Raw genomic sequence first — 20933 nt, forward strand, 5'->3', positions numbered from 1 at the left:
ATCACTCAGATAAACCTAATATTCACAAAAGTTATGGAGCTCAAATTTACTAGGTGTGCGGCTTGAGTGAGTTGTATAATATTTAATTTCTCTGAGCCTTACTTTGGTCTCAAATGCAAATTTGTCAGGATTGTTGGGAGGCGAAACTATATGATTATGCATAAATGGCCTAGGTCATAGTAAGTGTTCAATAAGTGATTAATTTCCCGACATTGATTGGGAAAGCAAAGTCATCTGTTTTTGGTAACCTGTGATCTCCTTTTCCTTTCCTCTTTCTTTCTTTGCTTATTCTACAAATATTTAATAAGCACCTTCCGTGTGCAAGGCCCTGTGTTCATAGGTATACCGTGTTCAAAAGAGCTGACTCTCCCTTCACGGAGTTTATAGTTTCTAGGTGATATGGGCAAAAAGAAAGCAGAAAGATAAGTAAATACAAATTATGATAAATATTGGTGAAGGGCAACACAGCTCAGTAAGGGAGAATAAGGAAGAATATTTTAAATTAAGTGCTCTCCTTTCCCCCACTTAGGTTGAGAGGTTTTTCAGAATGAAAACCTGAAGCAACATTTGGGAAGACTTTCCCAAGTTTGCTCCCATTATCAATAGGTAAACCAGAATAAAAATAAAAAGCTGCACTATTCCAAATAGATGTCTGCGTCTTGTGTATTCTTACCCTAAGGTTGTGCACAAACATTTGCTTTTGATTGTTTTTCATGTCTGTTTTCGTAAAAAGCAGTTTTAATGAGTATTTAACTATAGTGTAGCTTCTCCTACTTGTACTTTTCATTGTGCATTTTCTTGGTGTTATCTAATAACTATGTCATTCTGGTCCTAAATGTTTTCCTGGGTCTCAGGTTCAGTCACTAAGTTGCATTTGACCATTTTTATCTTTTTATCTTTAATTCCTTTCCCTCTTTTAAGTTATGAAAAAGTCTCATTTGTTAATCAGGAGGACCACCAGGCCACTTCATTATTGAAGGTTCTGACAAAAACAACACAAAATATTTTACTGAGGAAAAATCATTCGGTTGATTGTTCATCTGTGTAATGAATAGCTAATAATTGTCTGTGATCATAACAGATTCTTGCATCTGCTATGAGTAGCCATCTAAAGCCAAGACTTTGTCAGAAGCATCTGATCCTAACTTTGTGCCTGTTCTTTACACTGGAAAGCTATTTGATCTGGTGACATCTAACAAAGGAGTGATAAAAAATGCACGGTTCTCTGTAACTCCCCATAAAGCAAGCTTGTCCAACACATGGTGCAGGGCGTCTTTGAATGCAACCCAACACAAATTCGTAAATTTTCTTAAAACATTATGAGATTTTTTTGTGATTTTTTTTTTTTTAAGCTCATCAGTTGTCATTAGTGTTAGTGTATTTTATGTGTGGCCCAAGACAATTCTTCCAGTATGGCCCAGAGAAGCCAAAAGATTGGACACCCCTGCCTTAGAGGACTGTAGTAACAATTGACTACTTGTATTAAATACTTTATGATTTGGTAGGGGTCCTACATGATAGTTTTTCTTTTCCTCCTCTGCCAAGCAGTTTGTTAGGACTCACTGCAATTAGAAGTTGGATAATTACAGATGTTTTATTGGAAGTTAATATAGGTAAAGCACTCATTCTCAAAAGGACACAGATGATAGCTTTCTTTATATGCTTGAATATACTCTAGAAAAGGAGAGTATATTCAAATTTTGTGCCATTTCAAATGGCCAAACTTGGACCAGGGAATCAAAGTAACAAAAATAGGTTTCAGCTCAATATGAGGGAATTATCTGACAGTGAAGGGGCTTGCGCCGGGATTTGTAACCTCCTCTTCCCTGGGGTTATTTAAAAGAGGTCCCTCTGGCCATTGGTCACCGGTACCCTCAAATGACTTATGGGGATTCAGAGGGTCGGCAGTGGGAATAGGTTTAAATCTTTTCTAGTCATTTAGTACTGAGATGTTGAGCAGATCAAGGCAGCCTTCTTTCCCTTACTGGAAAGGCAGTGATGTCCAACGAAAAGAGCACTGGACTAAGAGAAAAGAGCCATTCCTTAGCCCCAGTTCTGTCATTTGTTTTGCTTGATGATGTCAGGCAATTTACCTATAGCTTTTAATCTATGATACTGGGTTAGTACTATCTCTTGTCTTACTTTCCTCTGAGGATTGCTACAGAGATCATTACAAAAATTATTATTATTATTTTTTTTTTTTTTTTGAGACAGAGTCTCGCTCTCTCGCCCAGGCTGGAGTGCAGTGGCGTGATATGGATCACCACAACCTCCACCTCCTGGGTTCAAGTGATTCTCTTGTCTCAGCCTCCCAAGTAGCTGGGATTTCAGGGGCACACAACCATGCCTGGCTAATTTTTGTATTTTTAGTAGAGATGGGGTTTCACTATGTTGGCCAGGTTGGTCACTCCTGACCTCAAGCGATCTGCCCACCTTGGCCTCCCAAGGTGCTGGGATTACAGGTGTGAGCCACCGTACCCAGCTACAAAAATATTTTTAAGAAATAGGGATAAAAATAAGAACTAAGAATAAAGCCCATAATAATTTATGTGGCCCTGCAGTTGATCAAAGCCTAAAAAAATTAATTAGAAAAGAAATGCATGCTTGTTGAAGAATACTGAAACAATAGAGAAGTATATAAGGTACTGTATAAAAGTGAAAGTCTCTGTTCCCAGTTTTAGTCCTGTTCAGATATAGTCACTGTTAACACTTTGATGTGTACATTTCTAGATATGTCTGTATGATACAGTGCATATGTAATAAAATACATCTTTGCCCTTCTCATTCAGTAAAGTGGATGTGTCAGAACAGAAAGATTAAGCTTATTTTTTAAATGGCTGTGTAATATTATACAGCACAAATGTGGATTAGCTTATTTAACTACTTTCCTATTAATAAACATTGAGTTGTTTTCAGTTTTGCACTATGCCAAAAAGGCCGCAGTGAAATTCTGGTATTCCTGTCTGTATTCCACATGTGTTATCTGGTACCAAACATTGTGCTAGATATTGGAAGTATAGGGTTGAGCAAAATATACAGTCACAGTCTTAATTGAAGCTTGTGATTTGGTGGGAGAAGTGACAGGCATTAATCAAATAATCTTTCAAGTATGTTAATACTACAGCAGTAAGAGCTATGAAAGAACGGTCTAGGGAGCCCTGAGAGTATCTATAATAGCATGAAGTCTTGATTATGTTTGGAGGGTTAAGGAAAGCTCCCCAAAAATCAGAAGGATGAGTAACATTAAACTAAATGGAGGAGCATCTGTCATCCTTTTGAGGATGCTATTAATAATATATATATAGTCAGTATTGTTTTTAATAGCATTTCCCAAAATATATTTCTTAGAGCCCCAAGGTCATGTATCTTCTTCATAGGGCAGGAGAAAATTTCATGATCAAATCACTTTGGAAATACTGTATACTAGATCTCACTTTTAGAGGTGGGTCGTAGTATACATTGGAATAAATCAATGTTTTGCAGTTAAAAAATTATTCAACCAAAACTTGCTTGGCTATGGAACGCTTTGATTTACATAATACCTATTGAACTAATTTGTTGTGGAGCTCACTAATTTTAGGAAACTATAGTCTTCATCTTGAGATGGAGATGGAAAATGGAAGTCTATGGGTGTACTCTAAATAATTTTGGAAATATAGTTTTATTAATACAAGTTGAGTATTATTTATCTGAAATGCTTAGGACCAGAGTGTTCTGGATTTCAGATTTTTTCAGATTTTGGAATATTTACATTATATCAGTTTAGACTCTTTAATCCAAAATGTTCCAACAGGTATTTACTTTGAACATGATATAGGTGCTCAAAAAGTTTTAGATTTCAGATTTTTTGGATTAGGGATACTCAACCTGTTATAGCTAATATTTGTGTACTTAAGTGTATTAGGCACTATGTTTAGGCACTATGTATACTTGCTATACATTATCTATAATAATTTCATCTTCAAAGTAACCCTAAGATAGATGCAAAATGATCCCATTTTACATATTGGGAAATTAGGGCTTAGAGGTGAATGACATGCCCAGAGTTACATAATTAGCACATGCCTCTTCATTGGTTGGATGGGATCTGTGGGAGGACAATTCAAAGGGCAAGTAAATCAAAAGCCCTCCATGTGTATGTGTGATTTTAAAAAATATATGTACTGTATTTTTGGGTGTAATGGAAGCAGTGTGACACCAGATTAGGGTCAGAACAGAAATGAGTGTGGTTTATTGCCACCAATACTAAACATTGCTTGTTTGAAATGTTCTAGGGAGAGTCTTTCCTCATGAGGTGTGGCCCCTGGAGTATCACATGCCATACATGTGGGCTGGTTGGGGTGGATCTCATCTCATCAGCCTGGGCTCTGTAGCAGAGGCTCCTTTTGCTGAGTTAATGTGAAAGTAGATACTAATTTAGTCCATTTTCTTGGCTCCTGATTTAGGCAGAAAGCTGTCAAGTTTAAGATTAGTTATGATTGCATTTATACAGCAGAACAGGATTCTGTGTTTACACACACCTTTATTCACAGTTGTCAAAAATGGGGAAAACCTCCAAATATCTATCAACGGGAGAATATATATAAGCTGATTGTGGCAGAGGCATGCAATGGAATACTACTCTGCTATTTTAAAAAAAAGAAAAACTGATACAAGCAAAGCAGATGAATCTTGGAAACACTAATGTGGAGGGAAACAAACCAGATACAAAAGAGCATACTATGTGATTCCATCTATAGAGACCAGAAAGGCACAAGAAAACTTTCTGGAGTGGCAGGAGCAGTGAAGATTATAAGAGCAAATATATTAAAACTCATTAAATTGTACGTTTAAGGCCTATGCATGACATTGATATAAATTTTACCTCAGTCAAAAATAGGCAAACAAACAAACAAAGAAAACCAAGAAGGCTGGGCACAGTGGCTCATGCCTGTAATCACAGCACTTTGGGAGGCCAAGGCAGGCAGATCACTTGAGGTCAGGAGTTTGCAAACAGCCTGGCCAACATGGTAAAACCTCGTCTCTACTAAAAATACAAAAATTAGCCAGGCGTGGTGGTGGCCGCCTGTAATCCCAGCTATTTGGGAGGCTCAGGCAGGGGAACCACTTGAACCCAGGAGGCAGAGGTTGCAGTGAGCTGAGATCGTGCCACTGCACTCCAGCCTGGGCCACAGGGAGGGAAAAAAAATAGGTATTACAGGCAAAGGACTGATGAACCACCTAGATGTTTTAAAGTTCTGTTTTTGTTTGCTTGCCTTTTGTTTTGGGAAAGTTGAAGGAACACTAATTATATTAGTGTTCCTATTTTAAAAGACAACTATTTTATTCTTCAGAAATAAAAACAAGTTAACATTCTAACAGATATTGAATATCTCAGCTAACCACAAGTCACAATAATTCTAATTGTCTTTTCATCTTTACCTTTTTGTAAGTCTTTATCTGCAAACTCTAGTCATGATGTTTGAGTTTGTCTCCCTGTGGAGCAGGGGTCCCCAGCCCCCGACCCCCGCATCGGTCCATGGCCTGTCAGGAACTGGGCCACACAGCAGGAGTTGAACTGCAGGTGAGTGAGTTAAGCTTCATCTGTATTTACAGCCACTCCCCAACTCTCACATTACCACCTGAGTTCTGCCTCCTGTCAGATCAGCTCTGGCATTAGATTCTCATAGGAGTGTGAACCCTATTGTGAACTGCACATGGGAGAGATTTAGGCCGTGTGCTCCTTATGAGAATCTAATGCCTGATGATCTGTCACTGTCTCCCATCACCCCCAGATGGGACCGTCTAGTTGCAGGAAAAAAGCTAGGGCTCCCAATGATTCTACATTATGGTTGTATAATTATTTCATTATATATTACAATGTAATAATAATATAAATAAAGTGTACAATAAATGTAATGCACTTGAATCATCCCAAAGCCACCCTGATCCCCCACCCCCACCCTAGTCCATGAAAAAATTGTCTTCCACAAACCCCGTTTCTGGTGCCAAAAAGGTTGGGGACTGCTGCTGTTGAGTAAAGATGATCATTACAAAGTAGATTTTGTATATAAGGTACTGAGCCTGGGTACTGATTTTTTTCTAGTTTCAGATAAAGTTGTAATCCTAATTTCGTGGGTTGTGATGCCTGACACTGTAAAATGAATGAATAGACTTTGCTGTGGGAAAAACCTTTACTGTACTATTTGTCCAGGTAGCTTGGTATCAGTTGTTAGGGTCTTTGTCCTGTCTCCCCATGCCCAGAGATGTTGAGCTTTAAGGAATAGACCCAGATTGGTTCATGTAATCCCTGGTGTGAGGAATTTTAGTGTGAGTGGTGAAGTGCCAGTCATGGGAATAAGTGTTATTTCTCAGCCAATGGGCATCAGCAATTAAGGGTAGCCACTGAGCAAAGCAGTTGGCCAGACATAGAATCTACCATAGATCTGAATTGACCATCTCTGACGTTCTACAGATGATTCTAGTGTTATAGAGGTCACCCTCTTTTATCTTTCTCCAAATTGAGAAATATTCTTTGATATGTTTCCCAGTGCTATTAAATGAGTTTATGTTAAATGTATTCCCTCCTCCATTGATTTGTTTTAAATTTAACATATTTTTTCAAGTGACAAGATAATTTGTGGTGTGCTAGGCATTATGATATACATAATATTATACCTAATAGTGCTAGTGAAGCTCTTTACTTTTCCTTTGTGCCCTTTTCAATGCTTTGAAGAATTGTAATCCGTACTATTGTTTACCTTTTATTTTCTCTTCTCTCTTTCACACAGCATAATTTCATCTATGCTTGGGGATGTTCCATATACTTAGATTCCCAGGTTGCTTCCACTTGAAGCTAATAAAGCATGTTTCTTTTTTCTTTTTTTCTTTTTTTTTTTTTGAGACTGAATCTCTGTCACCAGGCTGGAGTGCAGCGGTGCAATCTCGGCTCACTGCAATCTCCACCTCCTGGGTTCAAGCACTTCTCCTGCCTCAGCCTCCCAAGTAGCTGGGATTACAGGTGCACATCACCACACCCAGCTAATTTTTGTAGTTTTTAGTAGAGACGGGGTTTCACCATGCTGGCCAGGACAGTCTCGATCTCTTGACCTCGTGATCTGCCTGCCTTGGCCTCCCAAAGTGTCAGGATTACAGGTGTAAGCCACCATGCCCAGCCTAAAGCATGTTTCTTAATGTTGAGGCCTGATATAATATAATTTTTTTGTGTGCATTAATCATATATTTTAGGTACTTCATTTTATGTCTAATACATGACAGCTGAAATTAATTTGTCTTGATTTGCTCTACTATGGGGAATAGTACTATACTTACTGTTTTTAGGGAATAGTATTATACTTATTGTTGGATTAATTATGACATTTTATAATTGTATCACCAGTATTTGTTTCTACATAAATTCACGCTTAGAAACAGACTATTCTGCAAATTCTTCATTCAGGTAAATTCATTAATCTAAAAGAAAGTTGTAATTAATATGAATTCACCCCCAAATGGGCCATTTTCCTTTTAGAGAAACACTATAGTAGGGAGGGGCATAGTTAGACACAAAACCTTGGGGTTGAGAGTTACAAGCTGTGGCATTTGTTATTTTAAGCCTCAGGACTCCACACCTGCAAAAATATTACTGTGAGGTCACAGGCAGGTATACAGTGAATCCTGCATGTCCTCAGAACACCCCAGCTGCCAGCTCACTTCAACCTCAATGGCTGGTGCTGTTTTTCACATCTTCACTTTTGTGAAAGGAAGAAATGAAATAAGGAGGGGATAAAGGAATAGCTGACATGCCTAAGATTCTTTTCTTAGATTTTTCTTATCACTCCAGACCAAATAGCACTTAAATATATTGAATGTGTAAAACAAAAAAAAAATTCTAAGCCCCTCAACCAACTTAATGGACCCCCCCTTTCAGCCAAGGGGACCTCAAAGAAACTTAGAAAATTAATTCAGGCCATGATGGGAAGTGGGGAACAGGTCAAGACATGCCTCATCATACCCTTCTCCATTTGGAGTCTAGACACAACTGACCAGCAGTAACATTAAAATAGAGATCTTAAGACTAACAAAATAGACTCTGTAGTAGTAAGATACCAACTTCCAACCTGACTCTAGTGTAGTATCACATGACAGATAGCAGGCCCTGAAGGAAATCAAAGTATTTTTCCGGAAAATATATTTCTTTTGACATATTTAAAATAGCCCTGCAAAGCTGTGTTTTGTGGGGGGAAATTTGCATTCTGTAGAGAATCTCCTTCCCCTTAGGAGAGTCTGACACCTTTTAAGGTCTTTTAAGAGACATTCACTGGCTATTCTCTCTGAAGCCTGCTACCTGGAGGCTTCATCTACATGACAAGAACCTTGACTTCCACAACTCCTTTATCTAAAGGCAAGCATTTCTTTATGCTGTATTCAATTGTTCAGGCAGAGCTGAACTCTTTTAACCAATTGCCAGTCAGGAAATCTTTGAATCCACATATGATCTGGAAGGCTCCCCCACCTCCCTTCCCTACAAGATGTCCTGCCTTTCCAGGCTAAACCAATGTGTACCTTACATACAGTGATTTATGTGTTAGCCTGTAACTTCTGTCTTCCTAAAATGTACAAAACCAAACTGTATCCCAACCAGCCCATCTTGGGTACTTGTTCCCAGGACTTCCTGAGACTGAGTCATGGGCCATGGTCCTTAACCTTTGCCAAATAAACCTCTAAATTGATTGAGACCTGTCTCAAATTCTTTTTGGTTTACAAATGAAGTAAATAAACATTCCTTTTTTTTACTGGTCTGATGTGTGCAAGGCACTGTCCATGAAGGTAATTAGCATTAGGATTCTTTAGTTGCTAACTTAAGCAGAAAGGGAATTTATTGGAAAGATACTGAGCTACTCTCTTGAAACTTCCAAAAGGCATTTATTTGTTTTGGTTGGCTTTTTATTTTTTTTTTATTATTATTATTATTATTATTATTATTTTGAAACAGAGTCTTGCTCTGTCGCCAGGCTAGAGTGTAGTGGCGCAATCTTGGCTCACTGCAACCTCTGCCTCCCGTGTTCAAGCGATTCTCCTACCTCAGCCTCCCGAGTAGCTAGGATTACAGTCGCCCACCACAGCTTCTGGCTAATTTTTGTATTTTTAGTAGAGACACGGTTTCACCATCTTGGCCAGGCTGGTCTCGAACTTCTGACCTCGTGATCCACCTGCCTCAGTCTCCCAAAGTGCTGGGATTACAGGCATGAGCCACCGTGCCTGGCTGGTTGGTGTTTTAATGTCCTAGATTCCCAGATCATTCATTATTACTTTTCCCTATTTGGTTTGTACATACCCTAACCCGATGCAATTTTCCAACCTTTCAATGCTCCCTCCCCTAATGCTTCCACTTTACCTTCTACAATTTATAGTCTGTTGTCATGAAATAGAGACATAGTATTGAATATAAAATGTCTTTCACTTTCTTGCCCTACCTGGCTATTCCTGGGAGCACTGTTTCCCTGTAATCCTCTTAAGTGATGATGTATTTTCACCCCACATCTTTACCACCCCTCTCCCATGTAGAACCATTTCTCCCATTTGCTGTGTTTGTTTCTCCTTACTCAAAAACTGTAGCTCCTCGGAAATACATGCTGTCAGACTACTATACTCTCCAGATGTGTACTAAACTCCTAGTTACACCTTCTCATTAGTACCTGGGCTTGCTACCTTTCCACAGTTCCTGTCATCATACTTAGTAATTGCTACATACACATGGATAATCTGTCCAACATCTGACATCTCATTGCCACCTCAGAAGTCTACCCTCATGGTCAGACCACAGACTTGCTCCTCACTGGTAACTGCTGTACTTACAAAGTTTTTAAAAGACTGGGCCAGGCGTCATGGCTCACGCCTGTAATCCCAGCACTTTGGGAGGCTGAGGCGGGCAGATTACAAGGTCAGGAGTTTGAGACCAGCCTGGCCAACATAGTGAAACTCCATCTCTACTAAAGATACAAAAAAATTAGCTGGGCGTGGTGGTGCACGCCTGTAACCCCACCTACTCGGGAGGCTGGAGTGGGAGAATTGCATGAACCCAGTAGGCAGAGGTTGCAGTGAGCTGAGGTCGCGCCGCTGCACTCCAGCCTGGGCAACAGTGCAAGACTCCGTCTCAAAAAAAGACTGACCACCATCCATCTGGTTTCCATATCCCTCAGATAATATTTATTATCCCCATTGGGTAGTCCTGTCCATTAGCCCTTCTACTTTTTACTGTACTTCATTCATGTCTTGATTTCCCTGCTTTTCTATTTTATTTTTATTTTTTTGAGACAAGAGTCTCTCCCTGTTGCCAGACTGGAGTACAATGGCATGATCTCAAAGCTCACTGCAACTTCCGCCTCCTGGGTTCAAGTGATCCTCCTGCTTCAGCCTCCCAAGTAGCTGGGATTACAGGCATATGCCACCACGCCTGGCTAATTTTATATTTTTAGTAGAGATGGGTTTTCTCCATGTTGGTCAGGTTGCTCTCGAACTCCTGACCTTATGTGATCTGCCCACTTCGGCCTCCCAAAGTACTGGGATTATAGGCATGAGACACGGCGCCCAGCCCTTCCCTGCTTTTCTAGTTTGGAGCCTATGTTTCATCAGTGTAACTGTTCTTTTGCATATACCCCAGCTCCCTTGTCCATCTTTCCCTCTGTGGTACTCAGCTGACAGAACCTCACTCTGCTTAGATTCAGCTTTTTATTAAACCACCACCACATCTATCAAACTACCAATGTCTGTACCCATATATTTTATTTTATTATTACCGTAGATGAAACTATCCCTGAGGCTAGCCGCTCCACAACACCCTGGAGCCCATCTTGCCTACCTAAGGATTTAATGTGTAAATTTCCTTAGATTGTTCATGCTTTCTTGCATCCTCAATCTTTCCATCTCTAATGGGTTATTACAATTCCTATTAAAACACTCCCTAGATAGAACAAATGTTAACCTTTAAGTCGTGGCTTTTGGGGACAGATACAGGTACCCAGATGACCAGGCTCTTTTCAGAAATAGTATTAGTGGATGTGAAAAAGCATTCCAAAAGATCCTCTTAACTGTTTAAATATACAAAGCAACTTCAGATAATCCTTCTTTGGGCTGAAAGAAATCAGTGTGATTTGATTTTCTAACAGTGATTAATTTGGTCCCTGTAGGGTTTTTTGGCTTCTAAAAATATCAAGTGAACTTAGACTTTCCCATAGCTTTGGAGTTGATTTTCTCAACCTTAGTCCTAATTCTTTTCCAATTTATCTGCTTATTCTTGAGGTGGAATGACATTTTTAGAACTTTATGGCAAACATTTTCTTTGATATTTTCTCAGATGTATTTTTAGTTAGAAGAGTTGGAGCTACATTCTAAAATGTTAACGCAAATTGTCCTTTTGTAACTAACTTGTATGACGCATTTTCTGTTTTGCTTTTGTTTTTGCAGAGTCTTATGTCATAAAGAAGTATTTCTTCTTGTAGTTGATGGAGTTATGTATATGTAATAATTTTCAAATGATGGTCCATCAGCAGTAGAATTCAATTACAACTTTACACTAATCAGACCCAGTTTTGGAGGTCAGCTGATATTGTAGGCCATTCCCAGCATCATGGATATGAAATGCCAAGCTAAGCTAGGGATTATTTTAAATGCTTTGTTGTTCTGAGAATATTTATATAGGTTGCTTACATCAGGTGTCTGTCTTGTTTGTTTTTAAATGACTCATGCCACTGAAGTCATCAATTTGAGTAATATATTTGACATCATGGTATATACTTATATATGTGAATGTTCAATATACCATCATTAGTCTTTATCATAAGGCACTATAGTAATAGGATGTCATGTTTCCCATAAACTTGAATGACATAATAATGCTAAATCTGGTTTTCAGTAAAACTAGAATAGTCATGTGTGGTAAGTTGTCATCTATTATTGATATAAAATAGTATTGTGGTTACTTTTACATATGTAACACTGTTGCTTGAATTTAAACGCACCAATACAGAACAATGAGCAGTTCTTTGACTCTCATATGATGATTCAATGTCAGCTAGTCCTTAGTATATTAAAAAAAAATTCCTGGCTTACTGTGGTAGTTAATTCTAATTTTAATGTGTCTCTAGGGACACATTTATTAAGGTCTTTTATTCACTGCCCAGTAAGAAAAGTCAGTCAAATTTAACTGAGGTATTTTTCTAATTCAAAATGGCTGACTGAACATGTACTTAAAATTTTCCTTTTCTTGGCTGGGCACGGTGGCTCAGGCCTGTAATCCCAGCACTCTGGGAGGCCAAGGCGGGTGGATCACTTGAGGTCAGAAGTTCAAGACCAGCCTGATCAACATGGTGAAACCCCGTCCCTACTAAAAATACAAAATTAGCCATGCATGTTGGTACACGCCTATAATCCCAGCTACTTGGGAGGCTGAGGCAGGAGTTTTCTTTTTCCCCAAATCTCAGTAAGAAGAAAAAGAAAGAAAAAAAGAACTATGATACCAAAAAACTGAAGAAGGTTCTGTCGGCAGAAAGCAGCATTAAGGAGAGCAGGACAAAGACAGGTCCCTTCTCTGAAGCTGGAGGAGACGGTGGACTCCGTTGTCCAATCAGACTCTCTTGGGAAAAAATATAGGGAGGCAAAATTCGAAGAAAAGGAACATATAGCTGAAAGAGACTGTTTTAATCAGTCAGTAGCTTCTGATAAAGGCCAGATTATCTATAAGAAATGAACAAGCTGTTTTTTTATATATCTGAATGTAGCGAACTTTGTAACATATACATTGAGCAGTTAAACAAAAAAGCAAAATAAGTTCTACTTTTATTTTAAAAATTAAGATAACTAAAGATATGGAGAGGATTAGATTTATACAACTAAACAGTGTATGAATTTACAACATAATATGGGTGGAAGTTAAGGTTTTTTCAGTAAAACTCTAGAATAATGCCAAGATAGAAGAACAACTTTCTAAAGTGGGGAAATGCCATGAAAGAGAAAGGCAGAGCAGTATACCTGATCCCTGTTGGTCTTAGAGCTTAACAAAGAAACCCTTGTGCTTAGAAGCAAAATGCTTCCTGTGTATACTAAAGCAAAGCCATAGCTCTTAATTTTTAGTCTGTCAACAGAGCCAGGGATTGTATAATTAATATCTGAATTCACTTCCAAAGCAATAGTGATTCCCAATTCTGCTTTAGTAATGCATTCTATAGCTACAGCTCTTTAATCACTAGCAGCACTGTCCATTAGACCTTTCTGTGATAGAAATATGCCCGATAATTGCTATCCATTTTGGTAGCCAGTAACCACATGTCCCTATCGAGCACTTGACATACAACCAGCACAACTGGGGAATTTTAATTTTATTTAATTTTAGTTCAATTTAAATAACCAAATGTGAATACTGGTTACCATATTGGATAATGTAGATTTAGGCCCTCATTTATAAATATGAGCTAAGCAGACTAAACTTTTTAGGAAAATAGAAACCATGAAACGCATGCTAGAAACCCTCCCATGCCCAGTTAAGAGAGGTAATGTAAGTCACAGAAGAGTACTTTTAAAAACCCGAAACCCGAAGTATCCTAAATTATATCCTTAATGATTCAAATAGCTTTCAAAGTCCAAAAACCAGCAAACACTGCTGTTGAAAAAAAAAAAAAAAAAAAGAATCCTGTGACATTGCTTAAAAACTACCACTGTGGTTGTAGAAATGTAAACATCTTAATAGAAAGGCTGAATAGGACAAGGTTAAAGACTAAATTAGTGATTTGGGAGATCAAGCCAATGGGCTTGTCTAAAACCTAGTCAAAAAGGTCAAAGTGATAAAAATTATGAAATAAAATTTGATATTTGGAGGCTCAAGCTAAGAAAGCTGCTCTGTCTAAAGGAAATACAGAGGACATGGAAGGTAAGAAAGAAATGATAAAAAGAAAAAAAAAACTCCAAAGTTAAGGAAAATCTTAAGCCTTCAAGTAGAAGGGTTCTATCAAGTGCTTTCTAGGATTATTGTGGGAAAAAGATGTTACCTAGACATATCATGGTGAGGTTGGTAAACTCCAGTGGTAAAGAGAAATTGCTACCCTCTTTCAGAGGAACAAAAGAGGTTAACTACAAAGCAACTGTAAGTAGGCATCAGACTTCTCATCTATTATCATAAAAAGTAGGGTAAGGTCTACAAAATACTGTAAAGGAGTATTTTGAATTTAGAATTTCTTATAGAGCTAAGCTATGGCTCGCTCATATGTCAGGGCAAAAAATCATCCAGGCTGAAAGTTTGTCAAAAAAAAAAAAAAAAAAAGTATACATTTAGGGGTGTACTCCAGAATATAAAAAGATGCGAGAGAAGAAACTGATGAACCAAGAACTTAGGAAAACTGGGTTAACTTTAAAAATGATTGACAATATGGTAGTGAAATTTAATGCTGTTGTTATATAGAATTATAAAAATAGAAGAGGTAAATCTTTTAGAAGAAAAAAAAGTAAACTCATAGTTCCAGGTTTCAACCAAACCTAGGGATTAAAAATAAATGCAAGCTAACGATCTTGTCTTGTTTGGGTGGTGGAGAAGCCACAAACAAGAAAAATCAGTATTGCCATCAAAATTTTAAAGTCTGAGTGCCTATCATTCTGGCCTTTGTAGTGTTAATAGTCTAGCTGGGAGATAAGACCAGTGTACAAGAAGCAATAGTAAGCAATCTAGTAATATTACTAAGACCTTCTTATGATAAAAAGCTTAAAATTAAAAATAGCTGATAAGTTCTTGAAGTAGATTTTTAGTTCATTAGTAAAGTGATATTTGAACTGTAGTAGTATTTATATAATATAACATTAAAAACACGGGGTTTCTCCTCTCTGTAAAAAACAGTTAACTGGATTACTTTATTTTCTGTCCTTTATCAAGTTACTTGCATTTCATGGCCAGGCACAGTGGCTCATGCCTGTAATCCCAGCACTTTGGGAGGCCAAGGCGGGTGGATCACTTGAGGCTAGGAGTTTGAGACCAGCCTGGCCAACATGATGAAACTCCGACTCTAACTAAAAATACAAAAATTAGTAGAGCATGGTAGCACATTCCTGTGATCCCAGCTACTTGGGAGGCTGAGGCAGGACACTCGCTTGAACCCAGGAGGCGGAGGTTACAGTGAATCAAGATTCTGCCACTGTACTCCAGCCTGGGCAACAGAATGAGGCTCTGTCTCAAAAAAAAAAAAAAAAAAAAAAAAAAAAAGGCAATGGCTTATGTGAATATCTGCACGAGCTGTCAATTAGCCCTGTATCTATATGCCTCCTTCTCAATGCAAATTTTTCTAAAAGCTCACTTTGAAGAAATCAGTTAGTTAATTTCTTATTTTAAACACTATTTTAACTCTAAGAATATATTGCTTGCTGTTCAGATTTATAGAATGCACTGTGAGGAAGGGACTACACATCATGAATCTTCTGAATCTTTGAGATGCTTAGCATAATGCGGAGTACATACTAGCTCATATTTTTTTGGATTGTTCCTGTAGACAATAAAGAGATGGTCATGATACAGACTGTACTTAATTCTAACCTGTGACACATTTTATAGTTTAATATGTTGGAAGGAGTCCTAAACTTGGAGTCAGGGCCACACCAGGAGTAGACTCTTCACATGAATACTGAGTCACTCTTTATATAACTGTGGGTGAGTTATACCAACTCTTTATAAGTTAGAATATCAATAAATAACAGTACCACTTATTTTCCTTCACACAAGGATGATTTGAGAATAAAATGAAAAGAATTATAGGACAAATTCAGATACAGCAAAAGTATGGAAATAAAAGGTAGTATTTTATTACAGGTAATTTGCATTCTTCATTAAGAATATATATTAATTTTATCCCTTAGATTTTTATATTCTTGTCATCAAAATCCTCTTTCTGCTGTTTCTAAGAGTGAGAAAATGCTCTCAACTGAAGTTAGGCAGGTCACATGTGAATACTGAGCTTTAAACCAAATGAATCATGGTACAATCTAATTTCTTCCTGATGTGAGTTGACTCTTGAATTCATTGTTACCATAAATAGGGTATTCTTGTGACATATTAATATGACCAGAGCGAGGCACCTATCTTTGAGGAAGTTAGTTTTAAGATGGTCATTGTCCTCTTACACCTGCCCCAAGTAAATGACTTACGAAGCAGATTTTTTTTAAAGACAAAATCATTTGGTTTGTGGACATTACCAATTATTATGTTTGTAAGACTTAACTCCATACATCCCTATTAGGAAATCTCATTCTTCTTTTTTGTTTAATACATGTTAAACAATAGTCCATCAGTGGTTTGTCTCTTTTAAGATCACTAACTTGGGGCATACCGTACCGGTTGGACAAGATCTCAAATGGTGACTTAACTTTTAATGAGTGCTTATAAAAACATGTGTGTTGCCTCATGACACTATGCAATTGCTGCTTTAGTGGTGCTTTTTGCATTCCAGTTGAATTGTACATAGGTTGGCCCATATTGCTCACCATTTAGTTAGATCTTCATTGTTTAGATCTCAGTATGTTGAAAATCTGGGAACAGCATCATAGAAAACTATATCCTCCTCTCTTAGAACATTGCTTAGCAAAAATTATGTTTTGTTCTCTAAATGAACTTTTCCAACTTCGAAATTTTGTGACTTTTAAATAATGTATAATACTCTAATGTTATTCTAGGAACAAGCCAGCATGTTTGGCCTTATTTACAAAGCAGTTAATATACCAGTGTTAGAATAAGTCAAAACACTGTACCAATGAAAATGTGTGCTCTTCCAAGTAGTATATGTGTTTTATTTTAATATTTAGAAGATCTAAAAAGCTATAGGAACACATGTTCCACTTGTAACTTAATAGCATGCCTTAAACTTAAAGATATCTTTTTATGGATTCTGCCTCTGCTGCTTCTGATTAATTTTGTGACCTCAAGCAAATCTCTTAATTCTTTGAGCCTTAGGTTTCTCATCTGCAAAACGAGGATAATTATACCTACTCGTAGCCACAAGAATGTTGTAAAAATAGCAGGGAGAATTTTTATACAGAATTAGACATGTGGTTTGTAGATTTATGGTAGCAGTCTTTTGAATAAAAATTATTTAGTTTGCTATTATTTTTATAATAAAAACCAAAAGATTTATTTTATAATAAACTTTGTAGATAAATAATTCTTCCCTAAGAATGCTTTTGTCTGGACACCTGACCAAAGTACAGCCATGTTCCATGCACATAAAATCACTCAGACTTGAGTAAGCAGAAGAACATTGACCAGAAACATAAACAACCAAGCAGGGAGCTAAATGATAAGGATACTAGAAGATCTGAGAAGATAGAAACTCATGCATATAGCTATATTTCCTTTAATTTTCATGTGGATATTCTCTGTTGGAAGATAATGTTCCAGGTTCTCTATTCCCTGTTTTTCCCCAAAATACTTATTACTCTCCCGTTAATTATGATTTGCCACTTTCTGTATATGATGATGAAGGTATGGCTATGTGGACAGTAAAGACAGAAACAGGCCAGGCATGTTGGCTCACACCTGTAATCCCAACACTTTGGGAGACTGAGGTGGGAGGATTGCTTGAGCCCCAGGGGTTGGAGGCCAGCCTGGGCAACATAGTGACATAGTGAGACTCTGTCTCTACCAAAAAAAAAAAAAAATAGCCAGGCATGGTGGCACATGCCTGTGGTCCCAGCTACTAGGGAGGCTGAAGTGAAAGGATCACTTGAGCCTGGGAGGTGGAGGCTACAGTGAGCCGTGATCCCACCACTGCACTCTATCTGGGTGACAGAGCAAGACCCTGTCTCAAAAAAAAAAAAAAAAAAAAAAAAGACACAAACAAAGGTTGAGAATCACTGATCTAGAAATTACCCACATTTCTTAGCATGTTCCTAATTTTAGATTCACTAGCACATTTGGTCTGACCTTTGAACTTATAACTAAGGCAGAGGTAATTCAGTGGGAAGAGTGAGGAAGAAGGAATAGTCTCCCAACCTTCGAGGTGTTTAGATTTGGCTTAAATTTCAGGAATAGGAATAAAGGCCAGAAACTACTGATGTAAACTTTATTTTTTCTGACCATGGAGGAAGTCAATCCAGAAAACAGCTGATTTCTGTACAGTGCAGTACCCATGTCAATCCATGTCTGAATTAAGGGACTTTAGTCATACAGAGTGAGAATCTGGGAAAAATTACATCTGGGGGTGATGCCTTTTGATACGTGATTTTGGAAAAGCTTCTTAAATGATAGCTCTTCTGGATTCCTGACTTATGCCTCTACCATATCTTTTCCTGTCAGTTCAGAGATTATTCTGGAGACTGTTTCTGCGTATGCTAGACTAATATATCAGATATCTGAAACAGTCTCCAGAATGTTTAGTCTGTAACTAAACAGTGTTTAGTCTGTAAACACTGTATGTTTCAAAGCTTTCTTTAAGTCACTTGTTTGGAGCTCAGAATTCATCACCCCAAAGAATCAGTGCTCTCAATGGTGAAATTAAAAATCAGTCTAAGATTTAGTTTCCAAAAGAAAGGCAGTATGGAATAGTGGGGCAAATGATGAAATTTGGAGTCAGAGGCGTGGCCTTGAGCTCTGGTTGTAATATTTGGTAGATGTGTGATCTTGGACAGATTATTAAACCTGCCTGGATTTGTTTCTTCCTATATAAGATAGGAATAGTACTATTCATCCCTCAAGATAGTTGTAAGGAAATGATTTAATTAATTGTAAAAATTGATTTTTAAGCAGAAGGTACTCTACACTTGTCAGCGATTTATTATTTCTCACCTACACTAACCAGTGTTGTTTAAACTATAAGAATCATAACTTTCTTTTTCAGGAAAAGTATATCACGTCCTTAATAGTATTCCCAGTAGCAGAGGTGAGATAGGGAACACATTTCTCTAGAAATGTCGGTTTGCTTTAGCTGCCTAGGGCAGTGGTTCTTAGACTTTGGTGTGCTTAAGGATCATCTGGAAAGCTTGTTTAAAATGCAGAATCCCAGGTGCCAGACATTCTTAATCAGTATATCTTAGGGTTGAGTCCAGGAATGATCATTCTTAACAAGACTCATCTGTGATTCTGATGTATGTGCTCCTCAAATCATACATGAAACTATTCTAGTAATTACCTTCTCCTGTATTTGATGCTCAGATCTGATACTCCAGTCTACATGAGTAGCTTTCCAAGGAGCACACACACTCAGTTTGTACACACTCAGTTTGTACAGTTTGTACACACTCAGTTTGCCTTGGGAAATGGTCGGGGGAGGAAGAGATTATTTTCATAGAAGCTCATTCTATCTGAATTCTTTCTTGGCATTAATCATACCTTGCTTGCTCTAGTGCACTCCCCATCCCTTAACTGTAGGTTGTCAAAGTGTTGTCTATACAACAGAAACTCCTGAGTTATAAAACCACAATCTCAGAAGGTAGGGCCTGGAAATCTGATTTTTGATATAGTCTTCAGTAGGGTCTTATAGACACTAGAGATTGAGAACTGGCTTAACAGTTGCTCTTCTACAGAGTCATGACTTTGCCTCAGCTCTGTACTAATCATTTTCTGTGTAACCATTTATTGAATCTAGATCATTTCATCTTTATGAGACAATCTACGATAATAAAAAACAAAACAAAAAGAAGCAAACCCTGGGGAAAGAAGAGAATCTGACTTCCAGGGTTACTATCTTATTTGATTCAAATGTTCGGTTTTCAAGAAAAAAATCATAAGGCATAAAAGAAAAGGAAAATATGGCTCATTCAAAGGAAAAAAGTAAATCAACAGAAACTGCCTCTGAAAAAGAAGTGATGGTGGATCTATTAGAACTTTGAAATAGCTGTCCGAAAGATACTCAAAGAACTAAAGAAAGATGTGGAGAGAGTCAAGAAAATGATATATGAATAAAATGTAAATATCAATAAGGAAAAATCCTAAAAAGAAACCAAAAAGAAATTCTGGAGCTGAAAGTAGAGTAACTGAAGTGAAAAATTTACTAGAGGGATTCAAAGGCATTTTTGAGCAGCCAGAAGAAAGTATTTGTACACTTGAAGATAGGACAATGGAAATTGTCAAGTATGAGAAACATAAAAGAAAAGATTGGGAAAAAGTGAACAGAGTCTAAAGAATCTGTGGGATACCCTTAAGTGGACCAACTTACATATTTTGGGGATTCCAGAAGGAGAAGAGAGAAAGTGGCGGAATATTTGAAGAAATACTGCCTGAAAACTTCCCAAACTTGGTGAAAAACATGAATGTAAACATCCAAGAAGCTCAAAGAACTCCAAGTTAGGTGAATTTAGAGACCCACATTGAGATACATTATAATCAAACTGTTGAAAACCAAAGACAAAGAATTTTGAAGGCAGCAAGAGAGAAGTGACTCATAATTTAGAATAATCCCCCTGTTATATGCAGGAGGAAATGCTCCAACTTTTTCCTACTACACAAATTTTACAGATAGATTTGTTCTTACCATAGATCTTAGCAATCTCAATGCACAATTTGTTTTTTCTAAGTTGAGAACTTTCACCTTTTCACTTAAAGGAACCACTCTACAACTTCTCTTTGGCATATCTGAATCGCTAGACTGCTCTTGGGCTTTGGGGCCATGTTACGTGTAATAGTAACTTAACACATGGCCAAGGAAGTTATATTCAGGAGATACTTTGTCCCCTGTAGAAACTAAAGATAACATCATAACATATGTCTTTGAGTTGCTTTTTGGAAACCTGGACTCCCACTAGATGGATCTGCTGGCGCATAGACCTCAGATAAGAGGGAACTGAGAACTAAACTCTAACTGCTATTGTTTGTTCTAATTTTCTTTTTGAAGAGCCTTCAGAAGGTCATGCCCATAAGCCAGAGCTAACTTTTTTTTTTCTGATCCCGAATTTTTAGACAAAGTTTCACCTCCTTAACCAATCACCAACCA

General features: G+C 37.6%; 1 protein-coding gene across 11 annotated transcripts in view, besides 4 other annotated features; it reads left to right on the forward strand.

Annotated features, from left to right (window-relative positions):
* C9orf85 (chromosome 9 open reading frame 85) overlaps positions 1-20933 on the forward strand; it is a 74420-nt gene that overhangs the window by 1354 nt on the left and 52133 nt on the right. For 2 of the 11 annotated variants that reach the window (NR_157408.2, NM_001365055.2), the window contains exon 2: positions 5433-5563. The exons of the other annotated variants lie outside the window; for them this stretch is intronic. Coding sequence is in view for 1 of the 2 variants with exons in the window: in NM_001365055.2 (NP_001351984.1) it covers positions 5519-5563 (45 nt within the window). In the remaining variant the exon portion in view is untranslated. The remainder of the gene's footprint in view (positions 1-5432; positions 5564-20933) is intronic. 11 annotated transcript variants of the gene reach the window in all.
* Positions 6480-6986: an enhancer, noted in NCBI's record as "NANOG-H3K27ac-H3K4me1 hESC enhancer chr9:74534388-74534894 (GRCh37/hg19 assembly coordinates)". NCBI's record gives its function as "activates a minimal SCP1, AML or CMV promoter by ChIP-STARR-seq in naive H9 embryonic stem cells {active_cell/tissue: H9 hESC(naive)}" and the evidence as "EXISTENCE:reporter gene assay evidence [ECO:0000049][PMID:30033119]".
* Positions 7493-7998: an enhancer, noted in NCBI's record as "OCT4-NANOG-H3K27ac-H3K4me1 hESC enhancer chr9:74535401-74535906 (GRCh37/hg19 assembly coordinates)". NCBI's record gives its function as "activates a minimal SCP1, AML or CMV promoter by ChIP-STARR-seq in naive H9 embryonic stem cells {active_cell/tissue: H9 hESC(naive)}" and the evidence as "EXISTENCE:reporter gene assay evidence [ECO:0000049][PMID:30033119]".
* Positions 7999-8504: an enhancer, noted in NCBI's record as "OCT4-NANOG-H3K27ac hESC enhancer chr9:74535907-74536412 (GRCh37/hg19 assembly coordinates)". NCBI's record gives its function as "activates a minimal SCP1, AML or CMV promoter by ChIP-STARR-seq in naive and primed H9 embryonic stem cells {active_cell/tissue: H9 hESC(naive and primed)}" and the evidence as "EXISTENCE:reporter gene assay evidence [ECO:0000049][PMID:30033119]".
* Positions 8505-9010: an enhancer, noted in NCBI's record as "OCT4-NANOG-H3K27ac hESC enhancer chr9:74536413-74536918 (GRCh37/hg19 assembly coordinates)". NCBI's record gives its function as "activates a minimal SCP1, AML or CMV promoter by ChIP-STARR-seq in primed H9 embryonic stem cells {active_cell/tissue: H9 hESC(primed)}" and the evidence as "EXISTENCE:reporter gene assay evidence [ECO:0000049][PMID:30033119]".

Source organism: Homo sapiens, chromosome 9 (genome assembly GCF_000001405.40).
Source record: "Homo sapiens chromosome 9, GRCh38.p14 Primary Assembly".
In the NCBI taxonomy this organism is placed as follows: domain Eukaryota; kingdom Metazoa; phylum Chordata; class Mammalia; order Primates; family Hominidae; genus Homo; species Homo sapiens.